General features: G+C 42.8%; 1 protein-coding gene and 1 pseudogene across 10 annotated transcripts in view; both read left to right on the top strand.

The window, feature by feature from the left end:
* Nucleotides 1–25,109, top strand: part of HS6ST2 (heparan sulfate 6-O-sulfotransferase 2) — a 335,356-nt gene that overhangs the window by 29,912 nt on the left and 280,335 nt on the right. The window lies entirely within an intron of this gene.
* On the top strand, nucleotides 22,469–24,308 carry NAA20P1 (NAA20 pseudogene 1; annotated as a pseudogene).

Raw genomic sequence — 25,109 nt, 5'->3', positions numbered from 1 at the left:
GGTGACTGGGGGGTCCAGTGTTGTTGCTCTGCTATGCCTGAAGTACAGTCTCCATCCTATAACTGGAGACATTGTTGAGGAAGGGAGCCCCTGTCTTCTTGGCCATGCTTGCCTGGAGTTTAGCCTTTGCAACAAAGAGCTGATGTTGATGAGAATTCTGGAGGCCTTGGTCTCCTGGGGAGATACATAGCTCTTGACTGGGAGCTAGGAATTGTGGGTATCTCCTCTTTTTGTCCACACCCACCTGTACTGGTCCTGCTGTGTGAAGGGGAGGGAGTAGATCATGGCTCAAGTGCTACAGACTCTCCCTCTTTCTACCAAAGGTTAGTAGACTTCCTTGAATAAATCTTTCCTTATTTGCTATATGCATTAAGAACATTTCCAGAGACAGTAAATGGCTGCTTTAGAATTTTCACCGGTATGGTTGTTTTACTGGGGAGAGGCCTGCAGAGCTAAGTCACAATTTTCTTGGTTTTAGGTATGATGGATGATTTTTTTTTATTGGCTCCAAGACATATTATACATTATGTTCAGGGATGCTGGGTCCTATTTAAATCTTTTATTTTAGCAAGCAGTCTCCCTGTTTAGGTTTAGCATATAGGTCTTGGCCTACTTTTTTTGTCTGTGGTTCCACTGTGAGTTTAATTTTCACAGCATTTGTGTTGTTATTTAGGTCTCCTCTGTTTATTTAGTATTATTGGACTTTTCACTGGTCTCTCTTAGTGCTGCCTAAGGAAGCCAAGGACTTTCCCCAAGCCAAGCCCTTGGGTGTCTTTTGGTGGGGGAGGGTTGTATTGAGATCCTCCTAATAGTATTATCCAGCCTGGTGTCTCAGGTTTGGGGAGGAAATTCTTGGGTCCATGGGGACTAACAGGCCTCTTAGACCCATATACTTGCTGCAGTTGTCTCTTTTGGTAGCTCTTCCAGCCTGCCTCAATGTCTCTGGTCAGGGGAGGAGAGTGTCAGGCCAATAGGGACAAAGAGCCTTTCCAGTGGCTGGGCGCAGTAGCTCATGCCTGTAATCCCAACACTTTGGGAGGCCGAGGTGGGTGGATCACCAGAAGTCAGGAGTTTGAGACCAGCCTGGCCAGCATGACGAAACCCTTTCTCTACAAAATTAAAATACAAAATTAGCCAGGCTTGGTGGCACATGTCTGTAATCCCAGCTACTGAGGAGGCTGAAGCATGAGAATCACTTGAACCTGGAAGGTGGAGGTTGCAGTGAGCCGAGATCATGCCAATGCACTCTAGCCTGGACGACAGAGCAAGGCTCCATCTAAAACAAAACAAAACAAAACAAAACAACAACAACAACAACGAAAAAAGCAAAGCGAAAAAAAAAAGCTTCCCAGAATGGGCTACTTGCCACAATTGGGTCTCTTTTATTGGTTCTGCCCACCCACCTTGATGCCTCTGGGAAAGGGAAGAGAGTCTTAGGCTCATGGGGACAAAGGAGCATCCTATATCTAGCTGTTAGGTATAACTGAGTCCCTTTTTCAATCTCCGTCTGCTTATCCTGATGTCTCTGGGGGAAGAGGGGTCTTGAGTCCTCGGGGGACTTCCTGAAATAAGTCTCCTAGCTGTGGTTAGGTCCTGTTTGCTTAATTTGGTTTTGTGGACCTTTTGCATATCCTTGTTGTTTTTCTCTCTAGTTTTTCTATCAGTTTTCCAGAGAGGAGGTCGAAGTTTCTAACTATAACTGTGGATTTGTCTATTTCTCCTTTTAGTTCCATCAGTTTTCACTTTATATATTTTGCATTTCTGTTGTTTGTTACACACACATTTAGAATGGCTGTGTGTTCTTGGTTGATTGACCCTTTTATCATTATGTAATGTCCCCCTACATTCTTGGTAATTTTGTGTTCCAAAGTCTACTTTATCTAATATTAGTATAGCTACTTATTGCTTTATTTTAATTGATGCCTACATGATATATCTTTCTATTTTTCAGTGCCTTCTTTTGCTTGTTTTATGTATTATGTCAGGCTGGAGTACAGTGGCTATTCATAGGTCTGATCACAGCTCACTGCAGCCTCAAATTACTGGCCTCAAGTGATCCTTCCACCTCAGCCTCCCAAGTAGGTAGGACGGTAGGCTCACACCATGGCACCTGGCTTGTCATGTGTGTTTTCTGTAAAATCTAGAATTAGTTGGAGGAATAGAGAGAAATGTGTATACTCTGTCTTGTCCAGAACCAGAAATCTAGTTCACCTATTTCTGTTTTCTTGAATGATCTGGGTTGGCTTTTTAAGTCTTTGAGGCTCCGTGTTGCACTCACCTAATTTTAGCTCAATAAGATCATGTTACTGAGTCTACTACTCTGTACATCAAGGGCTGTAGTGGCTCAATTTTTTTTTTCAAAGATCAAATTTTCAAAGTCCATATATTTTTATCAAATATGCCCTTAGCCTTTTGTTGCTTTGGTTGCATCTGTCCCTCCACTGCCTTTGTAGGCATTTGGTTTTGGAGAGTTGCAATGATGTATGATCTGCAAATCTCCATCTGCTGCCTGCCACTGACTCAGCATGAATAGAAACAAAAATTGACTATAAACTGGTTGACACCAAGATAGACCTAATAACATGGCTTATTTGTATGAAGTTGGACTCTGCTATTAATTCATTCAGTATGAAGTGCTTACTGTGTGCCAGGATCTGTGTTAGGTCCTGGGGTTACAGAGCTAGCAGTGCCATAGGTACTGATTTTGGAGAGTTCATAGACTACTGAGAGGAGACAATCAAATAGGGTATTCGGTGCTATGATAAAGGTGAGCACAGGTTGCTGTGACAATAGAGAACAAGGGTACTCAAATTAGGGTAGGCTCTGTTGATGGAAGTGACACCTGAGTTGAGTCCCTGATATAGTTTGGATATTTGTCTCTGCCCAAATCTCATGTTGAAATGTAATCCACAATAATTGGAGGTGGGGCCCGGTGGGAGGTATTTGGATCATGGAGGCAGATCCCTCATGAATGCCTTGGGCCATCCACTTGGTGATAAGGGAGCTCTCACTCTGAATTCACATGAGATCTGGTCATTTGAAAGTGTGTGGCAGCTGGGCGAAGTGGCACATGCCTGTAATCCCAGCATTTTGGGAGGCTGAGGTGGGAGTTTGAGGCCAGAAGTTTGAGACCAGCCTGACCAACATGGTGAAACTCCATCTCTACTAAAACTACAAAAATTAGCCAAGCATGGTGGTGTGTGCCTGTAATCCCAGCTACTTGAGAGGCTGAGGCAGGAGAATCGCTTGAACCCAGGAGGTGCAGTGAGCCAAGATTGCCCCACTGCACTCCAGCCTGGGCAACAGAGTGAGACTCCGTCTCAAAAAAAAAAAAAAAAAGTGTGTGGCAACTACTCTTGACCACTGTCTCTCTCCTCCTCCTGCTTTTGCCATGTGACATGCCTGCTACCCTTTCACCTTCCACCATGATTGGAATCTTCCTGAGGCCTCCCCAAAAGCCAAGCAGATGCTAACACTCTGTTTCTTGTGCAGCCTACAGAACCATGAGCTAATTAAACCTCTTTTCTTTATAAATTACCCAGTCTCTGGCATTTCTTTCTCTTTTTCTTTTTTCTTTTCTTTTCTTTTTTTTTTTTTTTTCTGAGACAGGGTTTCACTCTATAGCCCAGGCTGGAGTGTAATGTTGTGTTCTCTTATCACTGCAACCCCTGTCTCCCAGGCACAAGCGATCCTCCCCTCTCAGCCTCCAGAGTAGCTGGAACTACAGGCACATGCCTGGCTAATTTTTTGTATTTTTGGTAGACACGGGGTTTTGCCATGTTGCTCGGGCTGGTCTCAAACTCAAGCATTTCTTTATAGCAATGCAAGTATGGTCCAATGCAGTCCCCAAGGATCCATAACCAGTCAAGGATTGGGGGAAACCTTAGGAAGCAGCATGAGTAAAGGGAGTTTCAAGAGGAAGTGTTGCTTGTACTTATGGGCTAGAATGAGATCTGTGACCTCAGAATTTGATAGAAACCAGGACACCTAGAGCCCAGTAGGATATGCGACATATTTTGGACTTTAGTCTGAGAGCAGTGAGAAGGCATTGGGACTTTTTAAGTAGAGGAGTCATTTAATTTGATTTGTGTTTTTACTGAATTCCTCTGGCTTCTGTGTGAAGGGGCTGGAGAGTGGCAAGAACATGGCAGTGAGTTAGAAGGCTGCAGGGAGCAGCCCAGGGAGACAGGGTTGTGGCTTGGCTTGGGGAAGTGATTGTGGGGATGCAGAGAGGTGAATGGATTCAGGAGGTTTAGGAGGAAGAACAGAAAGAATGCTGCGAGTAAAAGATATAGATGGTAGGGATGAGAGTGAGGAAGCAAGGAAGTTTCTGCCAAGGATTCTGCCTTGAGAAGACTGGAGAAGCTGTGATAAGCAGGGCAGTGGGAGAGAGTCTTTGTTTACATGTGGAATTTGGGGAGACTGTGGAGTCGCCATGTTGAGATGCCCACGGGCAGTGGATCTGTGGATGGGGGGGCTCAGTACTGCAGACATAGACTGGGAGGGTTTTTTGTTTGTTCGTTTTGTTTTGTTTTTGAGACGGAGTCCCCCTCCGTCACCCAAGCTGGAGTGCATTGGTGCGATCTCAGTTTACTGCAACCTCCACCTCCTGGGTTCAAGTGATTCTCCTGCCTCGGCCTCCCGAGTAGCTGGGATTACAGGCACACACCACCATGCCCAGCTAATTTTTCTATTTTTAGTAGACATAGGTTTTCTCCATGTTGGCCAGACTGGTCTAGAACTCCTGGCCTCAAGTGATCCACCCGCCTTGGCCTCCCAAAGTGCTAGGATTATAGGTGTGAGCTACTGCGCTCAGCCAGACTGGGAGTTTTGAGGTGCTTTGTCTCATTTATCTCACTTAAAATAATTTCAAAATATGTTAAAAGGAAATGTTATTTGCAATGCATAGACAGGTTTTCCTCGCTAGTTGCTGAGGATAAAATCCAAACAACTGGACCTAAACAGACAGGATTGGAAGAGGCTGTTCTGGACCAAATGGGATGCTAAACCTTAGAATGGATTGACAAGAGAAGGCCATGCAGAATGGTGAGAAGGCCCTACTTACCTCAGCCCAGCTTCAAGGCCCTAAGTGAGGGATACCTGGAATGCCTCTGAAGACTGGCATTTGGATGCCCATTCCTTCCCATTGCAGTTGCCAAGCCCAAGAGCAGTGGAGAACAACTGTACCTTCTTGTCATGAAGTGTGTACACCGGAAAAAAGTAAATGCTTGTATTTTCTTTTTCCTCTCTTTCTTTTCTATATACAGCTCTCCAAAAACGCAGATTTCTCTAGATCACAGTTGTTCGTGGAGAAGTGAGAGTGACAATTTTAGAGTAAAAAATTTAATATTGTGGGAATTATCTCTAACCAGTCAAATTACTAATGAAGATATTTATTCTTGGGAATCTAGAATCAGCTATTTAAGCTTTCTAGGATCTGGAGTCACACAGACTTGAGTTCACATGATGGCTCTTTCACTTACCAATCATGAGACTTTGGGTTAATCACTGCATCTACTTCTGACCTTCAGTTTCCTCATTTGTAAAAGGAGAATGCTACCTCATGGGACTGTTTTGAGGCCCAAATACTGTATGTAAGTGAGAGGGCTTTATAACGTATAAGTTGCTCTTTAAATGTTATTTAATCATTATTTAGCTTCTGGTTTCATTCTATTAATAACATTTTAAAGTGTTATTAGAAAAATTGTAAGATTCTTGCTAATATTAAAATATGTTGCTTTATTTAAAAGTAACTCCTAATTCATGCCCACCTAATAATAAAGAATATCATTAGGTGGCTGTAAACAAAAAAATCAAACAGTTCTTTCTTTCCTCTATACACTCACACACTTCTGGTCATCAAAATGTGTGAATTTTTCCGACAGAGACCAATACTCCGACACTAGCTGGGTGTCTTACAATTCAATTCAGTTCTGAAACTAACCAGCATTAGTGCAGGCCCCATAGATTAAGAGCTCAGTCCCACAAGTCTGCCCCCTCCCCTTCAGACATCTATCTCAAGTCCCAGGTTGTCACCTGTACTTCTGGCTGTAAATCAAGGTTTCCACGACCCCCTCCTTGGGTTTGACAATTTGCTAGGACAGCTCACAGAACTCAAGGAACACTTGCTTACATTTACTGGTTTATTATTTAAGAAAGGATACAATAAAGGATACAGATGAACAGCCAGATGCCAAGGTACATAAGGAAAGGTATGTGGGGAGGGATGCAGAGCCTCTTGTCACCTCCATGTGTTCACCAATATGGAAGCATTCTAAACCCTGTCTTTTTGGGGTTTTGTGGAGGCTTCATTAGGCAGGACTGATTAAATCATTTGTCATTGGTAATAATTCAGTCTCTCTTTTTATCTTTTGTTTTGAGACAGGGTCTCACCCTATCACCTAGGCTGGAGTGCAGTGGCGCGATCACAGCTCACTGCAACGTCTGCCTCCTGGGTTCAAGTAATCGTCCCACTTCCACCTCCTGAGTAGCTGGGACCACAGGCGCACGGTCTCACTTTCTTTTCCAGGCTGGTCTCGAACTCCCAGGCTCAAGCAATCCTCCCACCTCAGCCTCCTGAGTCACTGGGACTGCTGGCACACACCACGACACACGGCTAATTTTTGTTTTTCCTAGAGGCGGCATTTCGCCATGTTGCCCAGGCTGGTCTGGAGCTCCTGAGCTCAAGCGATCTGCCTACCTCAGCCTCCCACAAAGTCCTGGGATTATGGACGTAAGCCACCATGCCCCGTCAACAACTCAATCTTAAACCCCTCTCCCTTTCCTAGAGGTGGTGGGGCTGGTCTGGCTGAAAGTTTCAACCCTCTAATCACATGGTTGGTTCCCTTGGCAACCAGCCTTCATCCTGAGGCTATCCAGGAGCCCCCAGCCATCAGTCATTCATTAGCACACAAAACATCTATCACTTCAGAGATTCCAACAGTTTTTGGAGGAATGAAAATCAAAATATATATTTCTTATTATAAATCACAATACCACAGTGATTATTGGTATGTATGCTTTTAATTTTAGGCTAAGCGAGGATTGATTCTATTCAATTTTTCCCTCAGGCTTATAGGAACACATTTAAGGGCATCTGTTGATGACTCATTAACTGTTTCAAACCTAAAATGTGTCAAATGCTGTGACTTTGCAACTATTGTTGCTCTTCCCTTTAGCACGAAATACTTTAATGATCTCAAGACATTTATATTATCAGATTTTTGCATATATTCACTAAAATTTGGTTTTATTAATGGTCTCGATGTGTCCCATAAATATTCCTGGTTTCCAACTTGAGCTGGATTTATTAGGAAGAGGCAAAATTTAGCTTATGTGCCATACCTGAAGGAAGTTACGTATCGTAGCTTGTGATGCTGTGGGACAGCTAAAGAACAAGCCTTTACCTGGTGACAGATTTTAACTGGGGAATAGTTATTGTAAAAAATATTTTCATTTTTTTTAGACTACAAGATATGCGGGCTAGCATTGGATGCTTGAAAGGAAAATTACATTTTTGCTGAAATCCAGGCAATGCAAAAATTTTATGGACTTCTATGGATATTTCTTGATGCTTAGAGATTTGTTTTTTTAATTGCAAATGTGAATTGTCTATTTACAAATGCTATTACATATGGAGCGGGCCTGTGGTGTATGGCACTATTCCTTGGACTAATGGTACCCAGGTTCCATTCTCTGCTCAGCTCGGTGGCTCTAGACAAAGCCCCTAAAATGCTGTCTGCTTCAGTCTCCTTAATGGTGAAGTGGAAATGAATACCTACTGTCACTTAACTCATGGAGATGCTGGACTGATAATTAGATCATGTAAGAGCACTTTGAGCTGTATTGAAAAATATGTTGTCTCAAATTAAGTAGAGTCTATGGTTTTGTAAATATAAATATATTGCCAGAAAATACATCACTGGGGGAGCAAAACATGTAGACCAAATATAACAGGGATTAGTAACATCAGTAAACATAGTTGGGAAAAGATGGCACTAAAGAAAGCCAAGAAGAAAGTGTTGCTCTTGTAAACCAAAAATAAAATGCTGAGACCTACCCCCCAACCATCTAAATGGACTTCCTCCTCGACCAAGGCACTCTTAAAATTTAACTTGAAAGACTGGTTCAAGTCATGACAGGTTGTGGCAGTGGGACATGCCTCATGATTACCTCTCTGGCATTAACATCAACACAGACCTTAAGTCTGATAAGAAGCATTTACAATCTGTTCTCTTGGAATCTTCCTACCTGGAGACTTCCTCTGCACAATAAGAACTTTGGTCTTCATAATCCTTTATCTTAACCCAAACATTTCCTTTCTATTGATCCTAGGCCTTTATTTAGATAAACTCAACCAGTTGTCAACCAGAATTTTTTTTTTTTTTTTTTTTTTTGAGACAGAGTCCAGCTCCGTCACCCAGACTGGAGTGCCCTACTGCAATCTTGGCTCACTGCAACCTATGCCTCCCAGGCTCAAGCGATTCTCATGTCTCAGCGTCCCAACTAGCTGGGATTAAAGGTGTGTGCTACCACGCCCGGCTAATTTTTGTATTTTTAGTAGAGACAGGGTTTTGCCATGTTGGGTAGACTGGTCTCAAATTCCTGGCCTCAAGTGATCCACCCGCCAAGGCCTCCCAAAGTGTTGGGATTACAGGCGTGAGCCACAGAAAAATTTTAAACCTACCTATAAAGCCGGAAGCTCTCCCCTTCAAGTTGTTCCGCCTTTCTGAACCGAACCAATATATTTCTTAAATGTATTTCATTGAAATCCCATGCCTCCCTAAAATGTATACAACCAAGCTGCACCGCGACCACCTTGGGCACATGGTCTCAAGACCTCCTGAGGGTTGTGTCATGGGCCGTGGTCACTCCTATTTGGCTCAAAATAAATCACTTCAAATATCTTACAGAGTTTAACTCTTTTCATTGACACTCTGCCAAAAGGAGCCCTGAAATGTTGGTCAGATTTGGATAAGGACCATGGCCATGTGGCTTAAATGGCATTTGCTCGCTTGTTGGTAATGAGTTGCATTTGAAGAGGTGGAATAAATGGAGACAACCGGCATCATTGGGCACCTGTGGACAAAGAAAAGCCTTTTTGGTTGAGCCAAGGTGATACTATCCACATCTGCCTAGGAAGTTGTTTTTTTGTTTGGAGTAGCTGGGACTACAGGTGCCCGCCACCACACCTGGCTAATTTGTTTGGTTTTGTATTTTTAGTAGAGACGGGGTTTCACCATGTTAGCCAGGATGGTCTCGATCTCCTGACCTCGTGATCCGCCTGCCTCGGCCTCCCAAAATGCTGGGATTACAGGCGTGAGCCACCATGCCCGGCCCTGCTTAGGAAGTTTTTTGAAAGAGTGTTTATTTGTGAAAATGAAGGTGCTTCTTTATGTCTATAGCTTTCTGGCTTTACTCCTTTCAGAGATTTGACTTGTAAGGCAATAGATAGAAATGATAGCTCATCAGCATCTAATGAGCCAAATTACTTACTCCATAAAATATTATCCTACTTTCTAACTCCAACCATACAATTTGAAGGAAAGAAGCCCAGGGGTCCCGATTAAGCCATTGACATGTCTGGCTGAAGGATGATATGGGCTTCTCATTGACTGAGCCAACAACATGACCTGCCCAGGCGGGATCCGGGCTGACTCCTAACTCCAGGATGAAAGCAGGAAGGTAAACAGTCTTTGGGTAATTTACTCAAATTGTAGCCAGTGAATACCTCAAGCATGGCACTCACCATGCTGTAGTGTAATTGCCTGGCTTTTGTTTTTGTTTTATTTTGTTTTACCTGATGGGAGCTCTCTAATACTTCAAACATGGCACTTACCATGCTGTAGTGTAATTGCCTGGTTTTTGTTTCTGTTTTCTTTTGTTTTACCAGATGGGAGACTATGTCTTTCATGTCTGTCTTCCCAGTGTCTTTGTCCGCAGTAATCAATTATTGTATGTTGAATAAGCAAAATTATAATTTTTAAGCACCATAAATTCAACCTGCCAAAAGCCAAATCCAATTTTTTGTCTTTCAGGGGATGGCACAATAGCCAGCTTTTCAGGAACCTGAGTGTTTTCCAAACCAGCACTTTTCAAACTTAACTATGCACATGAATCACTAAGTTTTGTGAAAATGAAGATTCTGATTCAGTAGGTCAGGGGTGGGGCATGAGATTCTGCATTTTTAACAATCTCCCAGGTGAGGCTGATGCTGTTGGTCTGCAGACTACACCTTAAGTAGTAAAGGTCTAGACCCTGGTCTCTACCTTATCTCCAAAATTTAATCCATCACCAAGTCATGTTGTCTCCATCTCCTTTGTCCCAACTCATGTCTGTTTCTGTTGCCACCACTTTAGCTGAAGCCTTCATCATTTCACTGCAGAGATTATTGCAATAGCTTTCATGTAGTCTACCTGCTCTTTATTCTCCACTCCACTGTCTATACTGCAGCCAAGATGATATCTCTCAAATACACCTTTGGGCATGTCAATCCATTGTTAAGGGGCTTTCAATGTAGGATAAAGTAACAGACCTTCTGTGGTTAGATTGCCTTTATATTGGGTGGGAGCAGAGGCAGGGGCAAAACAATGTGAGGACTGAAGAGCCAAGAGCTTAGAGTACTGGTGGACCAGTAGTAGGGACCAACCCATGCAGATGGAGCTGCCTACAGTTATTGTCTCCTCCATCCATCTAGCCAGTTGCTGGTTAGCTAGCTGCGCAGGCATCCAACATGCCAAAAGTATTGGCTCTTGGACCAGACAAGCTTTTTCATGTCATTTACGCTAAAACCCCAATAACTTGATGTCTATTCTTTCAGAGTCTCTGGCAGATAAGATGCCTCACTGTTTTTTTTCTTTTAAATCAAAATGTTAGCTAGTCTGGGTCCCATCAGTCCAAAATCCCTTGCTCATGTTGCTTTTACGTTTGAATTACTGAGAATTTTAGTGTACATCGATCAACAATTTGTTCTATATCCTGTACCTAAAAGATGTTTTGCCATTTCCTTTTTCTTCCAGATTTTTTTTTCTGTGTTTTAAGTTGGGGTTTGGTAGATGGTTACTGTGTGCACATTCTCACGGAGGTGTAAGCATCGATGATACTGTACCTGTCCTGGGAATGGGATGCAGTGCCTTGGGTGGTTTCAGGAGATTGACACACTTCCAGGACCAGGCATTTTCATTTCCACCTTAAAGAAGGAGCCTGCTGTGCTTTCTGAGACCTACTGTATCTGGGATGGCCAGACTTCAGGAGACAAGAAGAGGAAGGCATCCTATCCTTTTGGTGGGTGGATGGACGGGCCGAATCTATCTCAGAAATTTTTAATTTTTACTTCCATGTCACTTTCCAGTCTTCAGCCAGCCCCCCACCGTCTACCTCCCACTGCTGGAGTGTGGCTTCATTCAGGGGAGAATGCTGAGCTCTGTTGACATTTGGTAGAATTTGTTTTCTTCCCTCTTTAATTTAGCAACTAATCACGGGGGTTGTTCTTTGTTCATCTTTCCAGGGTTTTCCGTACGCTGACTAATGCTTACAGCTGGCTCTCTCTGGAGAGAAGTGCTGGGAAGATCAATCAAATGAAATCTTAAAGGGTAAATCAGGTTTTCAAATGTGTTCAGGCAGCTTTAAATCGTTTCAGTGAGAAGAAGTGCTTACAAGGGCAGAAATTTGCCCAGCGAAATGCCTCCCAATGGCAACAGAACAATCACACCTTGGATGGCTGCTTTGTAGCCTGAGTGTCCAGTTCTTCTGAGATTTCCAATGGCCATTTACAACTCAAGAGTGAGGGACAAAATGAAGTGCATTTGACTTGAAGGAATTCACTAATGCAAGATCAAAGTTGTAAAAACTGTACCTTAATATGCTCTATCAAAGGGCTGTATGCAGATGTTAAGAAAGGGAAGCTGCACAAAATATCCCTTTTCAATAATTTCACATTTTCTTTAGTTTTTCAGCTCCTATAAATCTCAAGAAATAATTAACATGAAACCTATATTATGTTTCAGGAAAAACTCCAGAGAGTCTTTCTTAGGCTTTTGGAAGTCAGTGATGCTGTTTTCTGTCTTCTTAGAGAAGTCCTAAAATGGAAAAATTTTATCATGGAAATTGACCCATTCAGAGCAGAGAGTTTATGTGACTTTATGGTACAGGAAATTTGAAAATCGCATCTCATCTTTTATTTTCTATTGTCATGTTAAACTATGGTTGTGCCTATGGGATTAAGTGAATATTCTAGCCACTTGCATTAAATGATTAGCCAGTCTTTTCATAGTGACAGTTGGTTGTATGTGCTGCTAGTCCTGCAGCGGTCTAGTCTGCTAGTGGTTAACTATGGAGAATTGGTCAGAGGAGTCCCTCCCCCTATTATACACATCTCATTAAAGACTCTCTGCCACTGCCAAACCAGAAAAGGCAACTTATTTCACGATTCATTAAAGAAAACATAATTGGGAAGGTAATTTTGTAAAGTCATCATCAAACATAGTCCACCACCCAGTAGGAATTATCCTCTCATTATCTCTTTTTCTAGATAGTCATTGACATTGTTCCCCTCTGTTAGCATGAATAATTAAGGACTGAGCATAAAGAAGTGGTGTGGACCTATGGTCAATCTGAAGGTGTCATCAGAAGAGTTAGCAGGGCTTTCTTGCCTTCAGCAGGCCATTTATTCTGAGCTAACCTGCCAATTGTATTTAGAACAGGGACCATTAACAGGGTGACTGTTTGGCTGGCTGTCAGTAGGCTGTGGGGCTTTTTCCAGAGCAAATAGAGAAGCCAGCTGGGCTTCACTAAGACCACCCAGGAAGAGAGATCATGTCCCACCTGATCACATTCCAAGCAGGTAGCAAATGGGCTCCAGTTGAATTGTACTTCTGAAGGCTTTCTGAAGGGGTAGGGGAAAATACCTCCCATCTTAGAAATTATGGCTGCTAGTGTCCAGTTTAAAAAATTTCTGGCCCTCAGCACCAAGTGTCTTAGCTTTTTGTCCATCTATAGCTGTCAGAAAGACACGCTTTGTCTTCCTGGCAAAACTGCCTCTCAAGGTCTATGCCATCATTATGGCTTGGTTTAATCAAGCTACCAGGGTTGCCCCTGTGTCTCTCATCTGGCTCTTCCAGAAGGGACAGTTTGGGAAACTTTCAGAGATTCTGAAGATTTCATAGGGGGAGACCACACTTAAGGAATAAGACCCTCCACACATTGCAGTGAGAGTGACATGTTCATTGCCACCAAAAGAAGCCCCTCTGTTAAAACAAACCTGATTCCAAACAGAGCTAAGGTTGCTTGGGGGCTCCGTATTGTAAGGCCTATGGGCATGCAATGAAATAGGAGTTGATGTGGACTCTGAACCCTGAAGAAGCAGTTTAAATCACTAGCACTGCTGTTTATTAGCTGGGAAATTTTGGGCAATCTATTTCAGTTGTCAGGTCTTCAGTTTCATCATCTCTAAAATGGGGAGGACAGTGCCTGTCTTTTTACACTCCTGGACTTGTGTTGAGGAGATCATGGATAAAGTGTGTTGCACACAGTAAGGGTAGTTATCATGGTTATTAACCACACTGCAGCTAATTGGGCTCTAGCTACCCCATTTGTCCCTGGTCAGGCAGGCCCAGGACTTTCTTAAGCTTTTCTCACCTTAAAGCGGAAACACATTCCCTCTCCTGTGGGGTCACGTGGCTCTGTTTAAATGTGGCTCTAAATGAGATGTGTGCCTTTTGACAGGTCACCTTGTAAAGATACACAGCATTTCCAACCATGTAAAGGTGGCTCTAACTTCTTGAAATCCTCTCTTTGAGAACTGCCTTTAGAGCTGGTCATTTTAGTCACAAAAGAAACATCTTTCAACAGGGTCTTTTTTTTTTTTTTGAGAGGGAGTCTCCACCCAGGCTGGAGTGCAGTGGTGCAGTCTTTGCTCACTGCAACTTCCGGTTCCCGGGTTCAAGCGATTCTCCTGCCTCAGCCTCCCAAGTAGCTGGGACTACAGGCACACACCACCATGCCCCGCTAATTTTTTGTGTTTTTAGTAGAGACATGATTTCATCATGTTGGCCAAACTGGTCTCAAACTCCTGGCCTCAAGTGATCCGCCCGCCTCAGCCTTCCAAAGTGGTGGGAATACAGGTGTAAGCCACCATGCCCAGCCTCAACATGGTCATGTTTTGAATATGCTTGGACAGAACCTTGCCACCATTTCTCATAGTCATGTGTATGGTATTTAAACCATAGAATGTCAGATTTGTAATGCCCCCTAGAAATCTTCTAGTCCAGTAGTTTTCAAACTATGTTCCCCAGATCTCAACTGTTTGGAGAAGGGACATCAAGGTCAGGGAAAATCCAAAGCACCATATGTTCTTGATGCTAAGATGCCATTAGTTGTAGTTTGCACCATCAATTAATACTGGCATTTCAGGAATATTAAAAGAATGTATGCAGTCATTCTAAGACCCATCCTTATTTTAGATATGAACTTCAATTAAATACAGTATTAGGGTTCTCTGGAGGAACAGAACTAATAGGATAGATGTATATATATGAAAGGGAGTTCATTAAGGAGAATTGACTCACACGATCACGAGGTGAAGTCCCACGATAGGCCATCTGCAAGCTGAGGAGCAAGGAAGCCAGTAGTGGCTCAGTTTGAGTCCCACAACCTCAAAAGTAGGGAAGCAGACAGTACAACCTTCAATCTGTGGCTGAAGGCCTGAGAGCCCTTGGTAAACCACTGGTGTAAGTCCCAGACTCCAAAAGCTGAAGAATCCGGAGTCTGATGTTCAGGGGCAGGAAGCATCCAGCACAGGAGAAAGATGAAAGCTGGAAGACTAGGAAGTCAGCTAATTCCACCTTCTTCTTCCTGCTTTGTTCTAGCCACGCTGGCAGCCAGTTGGATAGTGCTCACCCAGATTGAGGGTGGGTCTACCCATAACACTCTGCTGACTCAAATGTTAATCTCCTATGGCAACACCCTCACAAACATATCCAGGAACAATACTTTGCATCCGTAATCCAATCAAGTTGACACTTAATATTAACCATCACACTGTCCATCATCAAATTAAAGAAATATAATGTTTTCTGTTAAACAGTATAATTTTACACAATTGGGTAAGCACTGTTTCATTGCTATTTTATAGATTGGGCTAATGCCTATGGTTTCATGTCACAGATTTCTGCTCCTACAGAGTTTGAAAATTGACCTAATCTAACCCATTTCTTCTGTAGAGGTCCAGACAGGAGAAGGTCATACAGATAGTTAGCAGCAGGGCTGGGGCTAGAACTCAGGCTTCTTGACTGCCACTCCAGTTCTCTTCACAATGTTACAGTACCTTTTGTCTACAGCCATATTGCATACCAGCCCAGCTTTCCTTTGCCATGACTTGGTTTGCATGCAGGAATTGTAAACCCATCTTATTAAAAGTTACCAATGATAGGCTGGGCCCAGTGGCTCACGTCTGTAATCCCAGCACTTTGGGAGGCCGAGGCAGGTGGATCACGAGGTCAGGAGTTCGAGACCAGCCTGACCAATGTGGTGAAACCCTGTCTCTACTAAAAATACAAAAAAAAAAAATAGCCGGGCGTGGTGGCACACACCTGTAATCCCAGCTACTCGGGGGGCTGAGGCAGGAGAATAGCTTGAACCTGGGAGGTGGAGGTTGCAGTGAGCTGAGATTGCACCATTGCACTCTGGCCTGGGCAACAGAGAGAGACTCTCTCTCAAAAAAAAAAAAAAGTTACCAATGATAAGAACATTTTATGTTACTATAGCCCTTAACATTTTACAGAACAATTTTATATTCTCCTTTTCCTTACATCTTTACCACAGCTTGTTAGGTGGAGCAAGGAGGATATCATCATCATCATTATTATCATCATTATTAAGACAATCACCTCCATTTTATGGATGAGAAAACTGATACCCAGGGAGGATAAGCAATTGGCTCAAGATCATGCAGACAGTTAACAGAACTGAGAAGACCATCCGTGGGTCCTGATTTACTCATTCAATGTTGTTACACATTAAAGCAAAACATAAATCTAAAGATACGTCTTGAGGAAAGAGTTATTCACTAGAAGCTTGCAAGAACATCATTTTATTGCTGAAAGCAGCTCACCTTCACCAGGGACGTTGAGTCATTGATATCCCAGAAACCCCGTGTCATTGGGTGATTTCAACTACAAGTTGGTGCCATAGCCTGAGCCCTGAGCCCTGAGCCCTGAGGATGGCCTTATACTGAGCATTGGGTGTTTTATCATAACAGAGACAGTTAAGGTTTAACAATGGGCTAATGGCCGATGGCAGTGCTTCCTGCACTGCTAGTGAGAGTGCCAAACCAAGGAGGAGCTGAGGAACAGTCCAGTGGCTAATGTGGGGATTAGCTGCTGCTTTGGGTAATCTGTGTCCAGTTCAGGCTGGTTACAGGAGAGCCTCAAGGACTCATTTCACTTGGCTGCTTCTTGACCTGCAATTTTGCATGCTGCATGCTGCAATTTTCCCTTTGAAAATACATCTTTCCTTTTAAAAATGTGGTGACATGTGACTTCTCTGAAGTTTAAATGTTTGATCATTTTTAAGCTGGCACAAAAATGGTTATAAATCTTAATACTTAAAAATGTAAAAGGAAAGCATAAACCCTACCAACTTGTTTGGTCCCTTTTGTGTGTTTGAGAGAGCAAGCCCAGCTCAGCAGGCCCTTTGGATGTCCGCTGAGGTTCAGAAAGCAATGATCTAGTCGCATCAAGATATTGAATCTTCTGAATTCTGGCCTTGTGCCCCCCAGGTCAGGGCTGTTGTGTTGGTTAGATGGCTGCCCAAAAAATGGTCCTGCCATGCCCCTGAGTTTCCCTCTTGTGAATGAATAGAAAGTTTCCATCTACAGAGTTGGCAAGCTCTGTGCTGTTAATTTCACTTAGTTAAAAGGAAAAAAATAACTAAACACACAATTATTAGTAAACCACCCTGCAGACAAGTTTAGGATTCTAAAGAACATTTGGTGGTTAGGCTTAAATGCTGTAGGCTATGATTACCCTTAATTCTGCACACAGACAGGCTTCAGAGCCAGAAGTTACATGATTTGGTCTTGTCAGATGAGGTCCCCTTTTTGCCTTATTCACAGGGAGATTATGGAGGTGGTAATTGTCAGTGGATTCCAAAACTCCCTGGTCAATTTAAGCATTTATATGTGGGTTTAATAAAATGATGATATAATACAGAAAGCACACTGTCAGGGAAGGAAGTAACTATTAGCAACATCATGACACCTTAATCTTTTTCTCCCTCTGGGAGAGCAGAATGGGTTAAACAGAAGGTTTGCTTTTATTATTGAAGCACAAAAAATCACATTTTTGTCTAAGTTGTTTAGTCAGTGAGTTTTGTGTAATTCAATGGAAATAATTCCATAGTAACTTAGTAAGTCAGTATTGAAAAGGCTGGGTGAAAGGACAGCATTTTAGAGCAGGCAGTGGGAAGCCTGAGGGAGCAGGAGAGGGGGAGAGGGGCTGGTTAATCAGCCGTCATATGCCAGGACAATATATAATCCTGTTTGATTTGGTGGAACAGGCCCTTTATGGGTAACATATTCCCCAATCCCAAATCAGGAACTGTGAACTCATTTTACTTGCTATAACCTCAATCCTCATAGGACTGGGGCTTATAAATTGTGGTTGACTAAGTGGGGAGGGCTGAGTTGTGGAAGATGCCACCTAAGGGTAGTGGGGACAAGCACTTCACCAGGAAAATCAGTGACAGAGGATTTTTCAGTGTAACTTTGCCAGCTGGAGACCTCTGCAGCCAGCGATGGCCATGCCTGGATCTCACTCAGGCCCTGGGCTTGCCACAGGAGGCACCCTGCTCACTTGGCCCAGGGGGCTGTGCTTGGCTTGCACTCCTGCCCAGATCCCACACTTGCCACAGGATCCACACTCAGCCTGCAGCTGGGCCGGGCATGCTGCAACCAGCTTCCCCCTTGTGTGCTGACATCTGGATGAGGGGAACACAGTGGCATCTGAACAGGGATGCCAACAACCTCAAAGCCCCAGAGGGGGTGTTACAGTGTGCTAACAGTTGTTTTAGTCCCACCATCCACAGCCTGAGCAAACAGGGGTGTGTTAACAGCTCTTTCAGTCCTGTTGCCCTGCTCCAGCCCGCAGCCCCAGGGCTAGGCTGGCCCTGCTGCTGCTTCCTGGAGCATGAAGTGGCTGCCTGGCACTGGCGGAGGGCAGAGGGCTACAGTTTTACAGCCTTCTTTGTACCCACGTTTGGCAGGTTCTGAGTTCTTGTCCCACATCCAAGAAGAATGAGGGTACGTTGACAACTGAAGTGTGAGGAGAGTTTTATTGCATGGCAGCTCTCAGTAGAGAGGGGACTCGAGAGGCCAGCCCTCGAGTGGTGGTCCCAAAGTGTGGCTGAGTCCGGGGTTTTTATGGACTCGGAAGGGGATGCACGCTGATTGGTTTGTGAGTATTCAAAAAAGGCTAAAACAAGGGCACCACTCAAAGGTGGGCACGACAGTATAAAAAGCCAATTAGGGAAGGGTAGGTATATGTAAAATAGGTGAAGGGTGGGGATCAATTAAAGGAAAGCATGCCAGATGGGAAGAGAGGTTCTCAATTTTGTCCATGGATTTATCTAGGACTTGTAGCTTGGCTTTCAAGCTTTAAACTGTCTATGGTTTGAAGGTGGGGTTTTATCAGGGACTTGCCCCTGTCTGCCTAAGACTTGTCTGCCTTCTGCTGCTATGAGCAGTACACAGAGGCAGGAGCAAAAGCAGAATAGAGCCCCATCTGAGCCATGAGTTGGGAGATTTTACAATGGGTCAGTAAAAGGGACAAAATTTATCAAATGGAAGAGCACAAAGATGAGCATTTGGATTTGTCAGGAAAGTTCCAAGAGAAATGTTAGCACAATCACAGAGGGTTAAATTCTGTACCATGAACTACAGATGACCCTGACTCCTTTGTTGGTTATAAAATACCTTTCTAGCTCCATATAAAGCAGGATGCCACAGCCTACATGTATTAAATCATGCATTGTATTGAGTTGAATTGAATGGTATTTGGGAGAGGGAGGGGATAGCCCAAGTGGTCCCAGGTTAGGACCAACACTGGGGCAGCTGTGATCTTGGGACAGAAATGTGAAAACACAGACTGTCCAGATGCAGAACAGGTGACTTTCATCAAATCCAGTCCCTCCAATGAACATAAGAGGAAACTGATGCCCCATGAGGGGAAGCAACTTGTTTCAGGTCACCTACCAGGTTAGTTGCAGAACAGACCTAAAGGGTAGGCTACCTAATTTTCAATTTAGTGTTTGCTTCTCTTTAGGCTTTATTGTTACTTTGCAATGGAGATCATACAGATATGGGTCAGGAGACTCAAGAGGACAAGTGATTTGCCCCAGGCTACACTAGTGAGCGGCAGTAGCCAGTGTTTGTCTGATTCCAGAGTCTGTGGACGTAACTACAGGGATATATGATAGAGTGTTTTGTGGTTGGAGGAGGAGAGAATTCCTTAAGAGTGTGTGCTCATGAGGCCAGGTGTGGTGGCTGACGCCTGTAATCCCAGCACTTTGGGAGGCCGAGACAGGCAGATCACGAGGTCAGGAGATCGCAACCATCCTGGCTAACACAGTGAAACCCTGTCTCTACTAAAAATACAAAAAATTAGCCAGGCGTGGTGGCGGGCACCTGTAGTCCCAGCTACTCAGGAGGCTGAGGCAGGAGAATGGCGTGAACCTGGGAGGTGGAGCTTGCAGTGAGCCGAGATGGGCCACTGCACTCCAGCCTGGACAACAGAGCGAGACTCCGTCTCAAAAAAAAAAAAAAAAAAGAGTGTGTGCTCACGAAAGGCAGCTCTAAAGAGGTCACATTTAAACTGAAATCTAAGGGATCATGGGAAAGAATTAGCCATAGCAAAGCCAGGGGAAGTCCAGGCTGAAGTAATCACAATTGCAAAGACCCTGAGGTTGATTTGTCCCTGGGATAAATGTCCTTGCCTGATGATGTGCTTGCCTAAGTCCTTTTTTTAGAGGTAATTCTTTGACAGACCCATTGCTGTCTGGAACTCCCAATGGACAATTACTGCTTTGTTGGTGTATCTAATTCAAGAGTTAGCAGCAGAGGCTCATGTCATGAAACTTCCCTTCAAGCTTGTTTGTCTGCTGAGTTTTTGGTAGGAGCAGGATGGGATCAGGATGGTTAGGGGGCCAGGAGCGGTGGGAAGGAAATGAGTTAGGAATGGTCTTTTATGTGCCCATGAGACCAGGCTACTGGTAAAATACTGATAAATATTTCCCCTCTAAGTTTTTTTTTTTTTTTTGAGATAGCGTCTCGCTCTGTCACCCAGGCTGGAGTGCAGTGCTGCAATCTCAGCTCAATGCAACCTCTGCCTCCCGAGTTCAAGTGATTCTCCTGCCTCAGCCTCCCTGGTAGCTGGGATTACAGGCATGTGCCACCACACCCGGCTAATTTTTGTATTTTTAGTAGAGACGGGGTTTCACCATGTTGGCCAGGCTGGTCTCAAACTCCTGACCTCAAGTGAACCACCCGCCTCGGCCTCCCAAAGTGTTGGGATTACAAGCGTGAGCTACCACACCCAGCCCCTTCTAAGATTTTTAACATATGTCATGCTGCAGGATTCCTATTCCATTAGAGGCTTGTATTTACCGAGGCAAATGGACGAAAGGCAAGGAACCAGTACTAGAAATATAAAACCATCCCTGTGTTGGATACGCCCTGGAACAAAGGAATATAAGGCCAGGATTTTACTTTCTGCCCTGGAACTGACTTCCCTTTGACTCTGCAAGTTTTACTTTCCTGCTTTATGTCTGATAGGCATAAAATGCCTACCATTCTTCTTTCTAATACAATTGTAATTTCATCAATGGGATTAGTGAAGGCACTAACAAAATCTAAATTCTCCATAGTACTGATCATCAGGGTGTTCTTTAGTAGTGACTTAAAGAAAATCATGCTCTTTGAAAGAATATATATAAGTTGCCTTTACATTGCTCACTGAGAAAAGATAATGGAGCCCAAATCTAGGCTTCTTGTTCCTCGCCTCCCTTTTTTTTCCTGGGTGATCATACTTTTCAAGGTTATGTTCTTTCATATTCAGTGTTGACCATGCAAAACTGGTGAACAAGAATTGGTTCTGGGATGATTTGTTCCAGCTATAAAGTAGAAAGCATTTTACTAAAATAGGATGCTTAGATTTGTTTGGATCTACAGTTTATTCTTAACTAAAATTCCAGGAACTGTTGGTAACAGTCTAGATTCATGGCAACCAGTTTTTACAAGAATTAGAAAGAAACGAATAAAATGTTCTCATTATAAGGTTCAGGACCGAATTTGAAGGCTTTCAGGATTCCAGATGGCAAATGGTAGAGCGAACGTGAAAATATTAGAAATTTATGCTCAATGATCATCATCTTCTGTCCAGTGAAGAATGTAGTTTAAGCAGGATGGGTGCGGGCGTCTGATGTCCTCATTTATTTCCACCTCTGTAGCTATTTAAGTGATGATCATTCTTGGTGGTGGTTAAATTATGATGCACGAAATACTATCTCCCTAAGGACCTTGCTACAGGACAGAGGTGATTACAAGAAATTGTTGCTGCTGATGTAATGTTTCGTATACCAAGATTAAACCACAAGATGAAGTAATGTACATTTTTTGCCTTTGAAATGCAGCTGGAGGGAAACCAGGGTAAGAACTATTGCCAAATGAAATATAATGCCCCAGGAAAAATATAAGATACTGTAAATGTAAAATCATTACAAAACTGACCATCTGGGTCATATATTAAACCACAGCTTTCAATTTGTTATGGTTTGAGGAATGACTTCACAGTGTGTACCCCTTCCTCCGTACCTTCCTCAGCCTCAGGAAAGCATTCTATTTTCATGAGTGTAGAAAAAAAAGTAATCTTAAAGTTTTGTTTTTAAAAAAGAGTTCCAATCAATAGCTCTTAATAAAGGCACAGTGTTTGCTTACTTCTTTGCATTTAGTCCTACTATATAGTCTTGTGTTGCTAATTCCACTTTAGCTGTGGCAAATATACCAGTGTGTAGCCACCGGGCCATGAGGTAAATTGAATCCGTGTGGAGCTGACAGTTGAAAAACCTCTGTCTGCCTCAGTTCAGGAAACAAGAGCGTGTTCAACTCACTTTGGGAAACCCCCAGGCATTAAAATTTTGGCATTTTCATGTTTTGAGAGAACTGAGGAGTAGCCCTGTTTTGATAATCATTTAAAAATATTTTACTTAATTAGAGCAGAATTTGCTCAGGCAGAAAATCACATTTATATGGTAGCCAGGCTGTAACACCTCATAGCTACCCATTGTCTCTAATCAGAAATGACAGCCTGGTGACTGGCTCCATGCTGGGTGAAGTCCAGCAAACTGCAGGCCCTGTAAGTGCCTAATCCCAAACCTGGGCTTCCAGTGGAGTTGGTTTTTTTTTTTTTTTTTTTTTTTCAGTGGAGTTCTTCAATGGGTCTGGCTTTGAAATACTTCTATCCTTTCTAGTTTAGGAAAGCAATGGCACAAGAAACCCATATATAAGTCAGCTACTTTTTTGATGTGTAATTCACATACCATACAATTTCCCATTTAAAGGCTAAAATTCAGTGGTTTTTAGTATATTTACGAAGTTGTACATCCAAAACCACAATCAATTTTAGAATATTATAATTCCCCAGAAAAGAAACCCCTCACTCTTTAGCCTTCACTCCTAGTCTCCCCATTCCTCACACCTCTAGGCAACTACTAATCTACTTTCTGTTTCTAGAGATTTGTGCATTCTGATAATTTCACATAAATGGACAAATGCAGTGTGTGGTCCTTTGTGACTGTCTTCTTGGTTCAACATGTTGTAGCATCAAGCAGCAATTCATTTCATTTTATTGCTGAATAACATTCCATTGCATGAATGCACAATTTATTTATTCATTCATTGGTTGATGGACATTCAGATTGTTTTCAGTTTTTAACTATTGTGAATAATGCTGCTATGATTTGTGTACAACTCTTTGTGCAGACATTTGTTTTCATTTCTCATGGAGTAGAATTGCTGGGTCATGTGATAACTCTGTGTTTAATCATTTGAGGAATTGTCAGGCTGTTTTCCAATGTAGCTGCACCATTTTATATTTACACCAGCAATGTATGAGGGTTTCAGTTTCTCCACATCCTTTCCAACACTTGTTATAATCTGTCTTTTTCAAATAGCTGTCTTAGCAGGTTTGTGAAGGGTTACCTCACTGAAGTTTTGATTTGCATTTTCCTAATGATTAATTATATTGATCATCTTTATCTGCTTAATTTCTATTTGTATATTTTATATAGAGAAATATCTATTCAGATTCTTTGCTTATTTGAAAATTGGATTACTTGTCTTAAGTTATTGAGTTATAATTGTTCTTTATATAGTCTAGGTACAAGTCTTTTATCAGTGACAGGATTTGCAAAAACTTCCTCCCATTCTGTGAGTTTTCTTTCTTGATGTTCTTTGAAGCATGAAAGTTTAAAATTTTGATGATTTCCAGTTTATGTGTTTTTTCTTTTGTTGTTTGTGTTTTTGGCATCATAGCTAAGAAGTCATTGCCTATCCAAGGACATGAAGATTTACAACTGTGTTTTCTTCTAAGAGTTTTATTGTTTTAGCTCTTACATTTCTGTCTCCGATCGATTTCAAGTTAATTTTTGAATATGGCATAAAGTAGGGGTCCATCTTTGTCCATTTGCATGTGGACGTCGACTTGACCCAGAATCATTTGCTGAAAAGGCTATTGTTAACAGTTCCCTCCCTGCCCCATAGCAGCCATGCATGGGGCAACTTCCAGTGAGGTGAGTATGAGGTTGTGGCAAGCAGGCCTCAGTGATGGTGGCATGATGACCATGCTCTGGGGCTTCATCTGTAATGACCCGTTCAGTTTCAACAGCATTAACTTGGAGACACTTACAGAAACTTACAAGATTCCTTTTTACTTACAATATCTTGCCAGAGTATTTTATCATTGCAGAGGCATCTAGTGGAAAGTTAATGGATTGTATTGTGGGTAAAGCAGAAGGTTCAGTAGCTAGGGAAGAATGGCACCGTTATGCCACAGCTCTTTCTGTTGCCCAAAATTTCCATATCTTGGTTTGGCTGTTAAACTCATAGAGTTGTTGGAGGAAATTTCAGAAAGGCACAAGACAAGGGTGCCTTTGGTTGGCCCTTTAATAATTTACTGTACCCCTAGATAGCACAGGGAAACAAGTGTCTTAGTCCATTTATGTTGCTATAAAGGAAACTGAAGCTGGGTAATTTATAAAGAAAAGAGGTTTTATTTGGCTTATGGTTCTGTAGGCAGTACAAGAAATGTGGTGCTGGCATCTGCTTCTGGGATGACCTCAGAAAGCTTCCACTAATGGCAGAAGGCAAGGGAGAGCAGACATCACATTGTGTGAGAGAGGAAGAGAGTAGAGAGGGAGTGCTGGGCTCTGTTTCTGAATCACTTCTTGGCTGGGCATGGCGGCTCATGCCTGTAATCCCAGCACTTTGGGAGGCCGAGGTGGGCAGATCACCTGAGGTCAGGAGTTCAAGATCAGCCTGGCCATCATGGTAAAACCCTGTGTCTATTAAAAATATAAAAATTAACTGGGCGTGGTGGGTGCCTGTAATTCCAGCTACTCGGGAGGCTGAGGCAGGAGAATTGCTTGAACCCGGGAGGCAGAGGTTGCAGTGAGCCACTCCAGTCTGGGCAACAGAGTGAGACTCCATCTCAAAAAACAAAAAGAAAAAAAAATCACTTCTTGAGGGACCTGCTAGAGTGAGAACTCAGTCATTATCATGAGGATAGCACCAAGCCCATTCACGAGGGATCTACCCTCATGGCCCAAACACCTCCCATCAGGCCCCACCTCTAACACTGGGGATGAAATTTCAACATGAGATTGGAAGGGGCAAATATTCAAACTGTATCAGTGAGAAAAATAAAATAATATGAGAATTGAGAAAGAAGCAAAACTTTTATGTTGCATAGATATGATTGTACAAATAGAAAATCCACAATTATTCTTATGGATTTATTACAATAAATGTTTAGAATTAACAATGTTTAAGAAGTTGGATATAA

This window comes from Homo sapiens, chromosome X (assembly GCF_000001405.40).
Source record: "Homo sapiens chromosome X, GRCh38.p14 Primary Assembly".
In the NCBI taxonomy this organism is placed as follows: domain Eukaryota; kingdom Metazoa; phylum Chordata; class Mammalia; order Primates; family Hominidae; genus Homo; species Homo sapiens.
This window is presented reverse-complemented; position numbering and strand designations above follow the sequence as displayed.